Here is an 8271-nt window from a genome sequence, read left to right as displayed (position 1 = left end):
ATCCTTTCTGCCACAAAATGCAAAAGAGGGACACAAACTATTTAATTAAATATTACAATCATGTTGAGCTCAGAACGCTAAGGAGTTTGGGACCACTCTGGTAACACTAAAAAATTAGTATGCATCAGATATTTATCTTAGGTCACTGACAACTCCTTCATTCCTTCCTTCTCCTATTTTAGATGTGAAACCAATCCACTTCCCACATGACACCAAGGATTCAAAACTGAGAGGAAAAGACAAAAGCCTTCATGTTTGCTTATGTATTTAAATGTTGGTTCTACTTTGCTAATGGGCCCTTACCTTTCCTGGGTCAAAAAAATAAAATAAAACAAGGCAGCAGGCCCTCTTTCTGCAAATGGAATTATTCTTGACTTACTTCCTTGTCCTTTATTCTTTCTGAAATGTGTTTAGTTATAATTCTATATTAAACCTTGGAGGAAGTGTCTGACTCATTTTAGAATTTGGGTTTTCAAGAGAACTGAAGTCAAGATAAAGAACTATCTTCTTTTCTGGACAGTCCAGGCCATTTTTGTTAAGGCTGTTCTTGTGACACCAAGATGAAGATGAGAGGATCATTCTTGTTGATGACAAATATAAGTGGGCCCAGGTTATTTTCACCATCATCTCTTCTACCAAAGAACCTAATGACGGCATTGTGGAGAGAAACATCCAAATTGCTGTTCTCCTGGACAACAAGAAGAATATCTCTGATCCCATCTCAAGGTTGAGAACCAAATTTGTGTACCATTTGTCATACCTCTGTAAAAAATGTGATCCTACAGAAGTGGAACTGGATAATTAGAGTTCCTGCTACCCAGAGCAATATCCGTGACGAAGACAGTGCTACAGAGATATGCCACACTGATGTCAGAAACAAGTGCTACACAACTATGGTCCTGCTTATATACGGTGGTGAGACCAAAATGGTGAAAATAGGCTTGACCCCAGGTTCCTGCTATCCTGACTAATTTGTCATTGCTGACTGCACAACTCTTTATCTTGAGAGGCTCTCCATTTTGATCCAGAAAGTTAATATATTTACTACCGGTGAATTTGAAACCTGGATTTTGTTTTAGATGATGTAAAACTAATGCCCCCCCCCCCAAAATAATCGAAATAGTAACATTATTGTCTTTATTAGGTAATTACTTCTCAACTATATGGTCACACCGTATTAAAATCTGTCATTTATCATGCTTGCCTGAAGAGGTATGCTCCCTTAAGAATACAGTTTCTAGCATTAAAAAAATAGACAAGGGGAGAAAATAAAACTCAAGGAGTAAAATCAGGAGGCATAACAAAATGTTGCCCTTTCTCTGCCTTTGCCTCGGAGAGCCAGAGCTTTTTAATTTTCCATACTATTCTCTCTTTAAAAAGTTTCACTGTATAGAGAACATACATGTGTAAACATAGGTCGATTATATGTCTTCACGAGAAAAATAATAATTGAAAAACATGTTTTTGGGCCGGGCACGATGGCTCAATCCTATAATCCCAGCACTCTGGGAGACCGAGGCAGGCAGATCACTGAAGGCCAGGAGCTTCAGACCAGTCTGGCCAACATGGCAAAACCTCATCTCTACTAAAAATACAAAAATAAGCCAGGCATGGTGGTGCACACTTATGATCCCAGCTACTCGGAAGGCTGAGGCACAAGAATCACTTGAACCCCGGGGGCAGAGTTTGCAGTAAGCCCAGATTCCGCCACTACACTCCAGCCTGGGCAACAGAGATACTGTCTCAAAAACAAAACAAACAAAAAACAACAACAAAAAAAACATGTTTTGGAACTATTTATAAAAATAATTTAAAATGAAATCTCTACTATTTATGAAACCCATTAGCTGAATAATTAAATGCATAATTGAAAAATGTATTTTGACATAACACTAGACTTGAAAGCAGATGATACAGATTTTCATCTTTTTTTGATAATCGGGTTAGCGTAAGAAATTCCCATTGGAAACCATCTATGTTGTAAATGAATCTAATGAAATATGTATGCCAAAATACTTATTCTCTAGCACAGTTTGAACAATTAACTAGATTCATAAGCATAAGAAAGAATAACACTCCTATGCAGATGCTCATAGTAAATAGAAATCAAGGAAATTATTTTCACATAGAACATTGGTCAAGTTGTATAATTTCCATTTTGGAAGGGAGGACTAAGTATTGTTACAGAAAATTATCAATTTCAAACCCACTAATTAATATTAAATCATATTATATTTAAAGATGTTTTGAACTTGTTAGATTTTTAAAATACATATTAAGTATTTTTAAAATATATTTAATTACGTTTACGTTAAGAGGCAACATTTTTTCTGAAGGCACCGTGAGGGCAAAGGAGCCACCTTCCACCCTTTCTCCTTGTAGAAGACCATGGGAATAGAATAATAAACATGCTCCACATCTGGGTACACCTATTGTCTTTCCAGAACAGTCTATCAACTCAGGTTTACTCTTCTAAGAAGGCATCGTCAAAATTATGTAGCACTCTGGCCGGGCGCGGTGGCTCACGCCTGTAATCCCAGCACTTTGGGAGGCCGAGGCGGACGGATCACGAGGTCAGGAGATAGAGACCATCCTGGCTAACACGGTGAAACCCCTTCTCTACCAAAAATACAAAAAAAAAAAAAAAAAAAAAAAATTCTGGGCATGGTTGCAGGCGCTGTAGTCCCAGCTACTCCAGAGGCTGAGGCAGGAGAATGGCGTGAACCCGGGAGGCGCAGCTTGCAGTGAGCCGAGATCGCGCCACTGCACTCCAGCCTGGGCGACAGAGCAAGACTCCGTCTCAAAAAAAAAAAAAAAAAAAAAAAAAAAAAAAAAAAAAAATTATGTAGCACTCCAGAGTCATAGGGGAACTACAATCTCAGGAATACGGAATTCACCTCCCATATGGAATAACGGTAATTCTAAGGTGTCTCTCTTCTTCCTTCCACATTCTTCTAACTCTGTAAATTCTATTTTCAGGCAGAGCAGAGGTAGCTCGCACATCATCAATACGTAATTTCTTAGATTTGAAAAAAATACTATTATCCTTTTTGTAACCTGTCAATGCTATGTCTTACTTTGTATTTTATTCCACATTTTGTTTTTTAAAAAATCAGACAGTAGTAGTTATTCTATTTTTGCAGTGAAGAATTTACAATAATTATGATTAACTTATTTGCTCAACGTTTCCTATTGTTATAACATTACGTAATATTCACCTTCCTCTTTTTTTACACTATTTCGAAAATTGAGTCGGTAATCTTTCTTGTGTGTAGATAAGGCAGCTTTGGAATAGTGCACTATAACAGCAGCTGGTCACTTTTTTTCTACTTGGATATCAGTTGTTGAATATAATAATTTTTTAAAAGTCAAATCACTAGTTTCATGACATTTACAAACGGAAAAAAGCTATAATTGACACATATGTAAAATGACCCACTGTAATACTAGGTGAACACAGATATATTTAATGAGACAGGATCTTTTCTTAATCCTTTATCAAAAGTCAGTGCACCATCTTTTCAGAGTCATCGGTAGCCCTCTACTCCCATTCATCTCCCATTTTGACTCCAAAGGGATTAGGGAATTCTAGCCCCATGGTCTTCTACATGAATTATATAATCAATCATTCTACTAGTATATCACTTTCATCTTGAAAAACTAGGTAAGTTATTGAGATATCTACCAAATTGGTATTGTTTCTGAGGGGAAAATATATAAATAGATCTTTTTCCCCTAGGTTCAGAAAGCAACAAATTATAAAAATAAGCAATGCTAGGCATGATAAGAAAAAAGAAAATACCCAGATTCATAGTAGTGGCATCTCTCTAAGTTGTTAAAATTAAGTAATTCCCAGAACATAAAAGCAACCATAATCCCTGTCACTCTGATGTTTTATAAAAAGATAATTCTGGTGTGACTGCAGCTTCATTGGTAAAGAACACTGGTCTCCTTTTTGTTGTCATTATCATGGAAATGAAGATTAGAACATTTCAACAGTAAACAAGACATATCCAGTAGGTGAACCATGAAGTTCTGAACTATACTGTCATTTTGGTATTCAAACTAGAGGCAGATTCCAAATGGCAGCTATTTATCATTTTAAAAACCTCAAATGGCAAGTAGTGCATAAATAGGGGTTGCTATTACTGTACCCAGGAAATCATGAGCATTGATGTGCAAGACTCCAGGATAATGAGCTTTTGAAAAAGTTGTTTCCACTCTGGATAGCATTCCTCTTATTAACTAGTACATTTTGAAATATGTTGTATAAAAATTAATCACTTTCCAGCATCTTTCTGAAGTTAGCTAGTAAACCTTCTTTGAATTTTAAGAACAGGTTTTTTTCGTATTTTCTTCTTCCTGAAGGGGCCTAATATGAGAAAAGCCATTATGTTAAAATCCAAAAGATTAAAATCCTCTGACTCACCTCTGTGAACCTAAGCTCCAGACAGTTTCACCAGCTCTACAGTTATTAGTAACACTAAAGTTGAGGATGAGAGGACCTGTCAATATTTCCCAAAGTCTAGGAATTGAAAACAGTCAGTAACTGCAATTTCTCTAAGTAGCACTACAGATAACCTGTGTCACAAAGCATTTTTGCTTTCTTGGGTAACAAAATAAATCCTTTTGAATCAAGGGCAATAATCACATTTCTTATAAAAAAGAGATAGTAATATTACATGAGAACACCAAGCAAGTTGAAAAAAAGTCTCAATTTGGATGTAAAATTTATTTTATTTTTAATTTTTTGTAAGTACATAGTAGGTATATATATTTATGGAGTATATAGAATATTTTGATACAGGTATACAATGTTTAACAATTACATCAGGGTAAATGCGGTATTCATCACTTCAAGCATTTATTATTTGTGTTACAAACAATCCAAATATACTCTTTTAGTTATGTTTAAACATAAAATTAAATTATTGAATATAGTCACTCTGTTGTGCTATCAAATACTAGATCTTAGTTATTCTTTCTAACTATTTTTTTCTGCCCATCAGCAATCACTCCCCCCTCACGCCCCAACCCTTCTACCCTTTCTAGCCTCTAGTAACTGTCATTCTACTCTCTACCTCCATGAATACAATTGTTTTAAGTTTTAGCTCCCCAAAATAAGTGAGAACATGCAAAGTTTGTCTTTCTGTGTCTGGCTTATTTCACTTAACACCATGACCTCTAGTTCCATCCATGTTTTTGCAAATGACAGGATCTCCTTCTTTTTATTGCTGAATAGTACTCCATTGTGTATATGTACAACATTTTCTTTATCCATTCATCTGTTCACAGACATTTGTGTTGCCACCAAATCCTGGCTATTGTGAATAGTGCTGCAATAAACATGGGAGTTCAGATTTCTCTTTGATATACTGATTTCCTTTCTTTTGGATATATACCTAGCAGTGTGATTGCTGAATCATATGATAGCTCTATTTTTTGTTTTTTGAGAAACCTTCAAACTGTTCTCCATAGTGGTTGTACTAATTTACATTCCCACCAAGAGTGTATGAAGCTTCCCTTTTCTCCATATTGTTGACAGCATTTGTTATTACCTGTCTTTTGGATAAAAGCTATTTTAACTGGTGTGAGATAATACTTCATTGTAGTTTTGATTCACATTTCTCTGATGATCAATGATGATGAACATTTTTTATATACCTGTTTGTCATTTGTACGTCTTCTTTTGAGAAAAGTCTATTCAGATCTTTTATTCATTTTTAATCAGATTATTAGATATTATCCTATAGAGTTGTTCAAGCTCCTTATATAGTCTGATTATTAATCCCTCGTCAGATGAGTAGTTTGCCAATATTTTCTCCCTTTCTGTGGGTCGTCTCTTCACTTTGTTGATTGTTTCCTTTGCTGTGCAGAAACTTTAACTTGATGTGATCCCATTCATCCATTTTTGCTTTGCTTGCCTGTGCTTGTGGGATATTACTCAAGAAACCCTTGCCAAAGTCAATGTCCTGGAGAGTTTCTCCAATGTTTCCTGCTGGTAGTTTCATAGTTTGGGAACTTAGATGTCTTTAGTTCATTTTGATTTGATTTTTCTATAGGGTGAGAGATAGAGATCCAGTTTCATTCTTCTTCATATGAATATCCAGTTTTCCCAGCATTATTTATTGAAGAGACTGTCCTTTCCCCATTATATGTTTTTGTCACTCACTCTTGTCAAAAATGAATTCACTATAGATGTATGGATTTGTTTCTAGGTTCTCTATTCTGTTCCACTGGTCTATGTATCTGTATTTATGCAAGTACCATGATGTTTCAGTTACTATAGCTTTGTGGTATCATTTGAAGTTAGGTAATGTTATTCCTCCAATCTTGTTCATTTTGCCCAGGATAGCTTTTGCTATTCTGGTTTTTTTGTGGTTCCATATAAATTTTAGAATTCTTTTTCTATTTCTGTGAAGAATTTCCTTGGCATTTTGATAGAGATTGCATTAAATCTGTAGATTGCAAGCCATGCACGGGCACTCATGCCTGTAATCCCAGCACTTTGGGAGGCCAAGGCAGAAGGATTGCTTGAGTCCAGGCATTTGAGACCAGCCTGGGCAACATGGCAAAACCCTGCCTCTACAAAATATACGAAAAAAAATTAACCAGGTGTAGGGGCACACACCTGTAGTCCCAGCTATTTGGGTGACTAATGTGGGAGGATCACTTGAGCCCAGTAGGCAGGGGTTGCAGTGAGTCATGATCACAACACTGCACTCCAGCCTGGGTGACAGAGTGAGACCCTGTCTTAAAAAAAAAAAAATCTGTAGGTTGCTTTGGGAAGTATGGACATTTTAACAATACTGATTCTTCCAATCCATGAACATGAAATATATTTGGATTTTTTGTTGTCCTCTTCAATATCTTTCATCAACATTTTACAGTTTTCATTGGAGAGATCTTTCACATCTTTGGTTAAGTTAATTCCTAGGTATTTAATTTTATTTGTAGCTATTGTAAATTAGATTACTTTCTTGATTTCTTTTTCAAATTGTTCACTGTTGGCATAGAGAAATGCTACTCATTTCTGTATGTTGATTTTATATTCTGCTGAAACTTTACTGAATTTGTTTATCAGTTCTAATAGTTTTTGGTGAAGTCTAGGTTTTTCTTTTTTTTAATTTTTTATTTTAAAATCAAAATTACTTTTTATTCAATAAGACATAACAGAACTTAAACAGCTTGATGAGTTTTAATAAGTGCGTATACCCATATAAGTAACACCCAAACCAAGATAGAGAACATTTCTGTAACCTCAAAGCATTCTCTCATGTTATTTCCTGTCAACCCTATCTAACTAAAGAGGTAATAATCACGCTCCTGATTTTCTAACATTAGGAGTTAGTTTTCTCTGTTTTCATAATTCATACGAATGAAATCTTATTATAGTATGTACTTTTTTTGGCCTGACTTCTTTCAGTCAGCAAAATGTTGTTAATATGCATCCATTTTTTTATTATTATTATACTTTAAGTTTTAGGGTACATGTGCACAATGTGCAGGTTAGTTACATATGTATGCATGTGCCATAATAAGAGCTATCTATGACAAACCCACAGCCAATATCATACTGAATGGGCAAAAACTGGAAGCATTCCCTTTGAAAACGGACACAAGACAGGGATGCCCTCTCTCACCACTCCTATTCAACATAGTGTTGGAAGTTCTGGCCAGGACAATTAGGCAGGAGAAGGAAATAAAGGGTATTCAATTAGGAAAAGAGGAAGTCAAATTGTCCCTGTTTGCAGATGACATGATTGTATATCTAGAAAACCCCATTGTCTCAGCCCAAAATCTCCTTAAGCTGATAAGCAACTTCAGCAAAGTCTCAGGATACAAAATCAATGTAGAAAAATCACAAGCATTCTTATACACCAACAACAGACAAACAGAGAGCCAAATCATGAGTGAACTCCCATTCACAATTGCTTCAAAGAGAATAAAATACCTAGGAATCCAACTTACAAGGGATGTGAAGGACCTCTTCAAGGAGAACTACAAACCACTGCTCAATGAAATAAAAGAGGATACAAACAAATGGAAGAACATTCCATGCTCATGGGTAGGAAGAATCAATATTGTGAAAATGGCCATACTGCCCAAGGTAATTTACAGATTCAATGCCATCCCCATCAAGCTACCAATGACTTTCTTCACAGAATTGGAAAAAACTACTTTCAAGTTCTTATGGAACCAAAAAAGAGCCATATTGCCAAGTCAATCCTAAGCCAAAAGAACAAAGCTGGAGGCATCACGCTACCTGAC

General features: G+C 35.7%; 1 pseudogene; it reads left to right on the top strand.

Moving 5' to 3' along the window:
- On the top strand, positions 478 to 1463 carry JCHAINP1 (joining chain of multimeric IgA and IgM pseudogene 1; annotated as a pseudogene).

The sequence above is a fragment of the Homo sapiens genome, chromosome 8 (genome assembly GCF_000001405.40).
Source record: "Homo sapiens chromosome 8, GRCh38.p14 Primary Assembly".
Taxonomy (NCBI): domain Eukaryota; kingdom Metazoa; phylum Chordata; class Mammalia; order Primates; family Hominidae; genus Homo; species Homo sapiens.
This window is presented reverse-complemented; position numbering and strand designations above follow the sequence as displayed.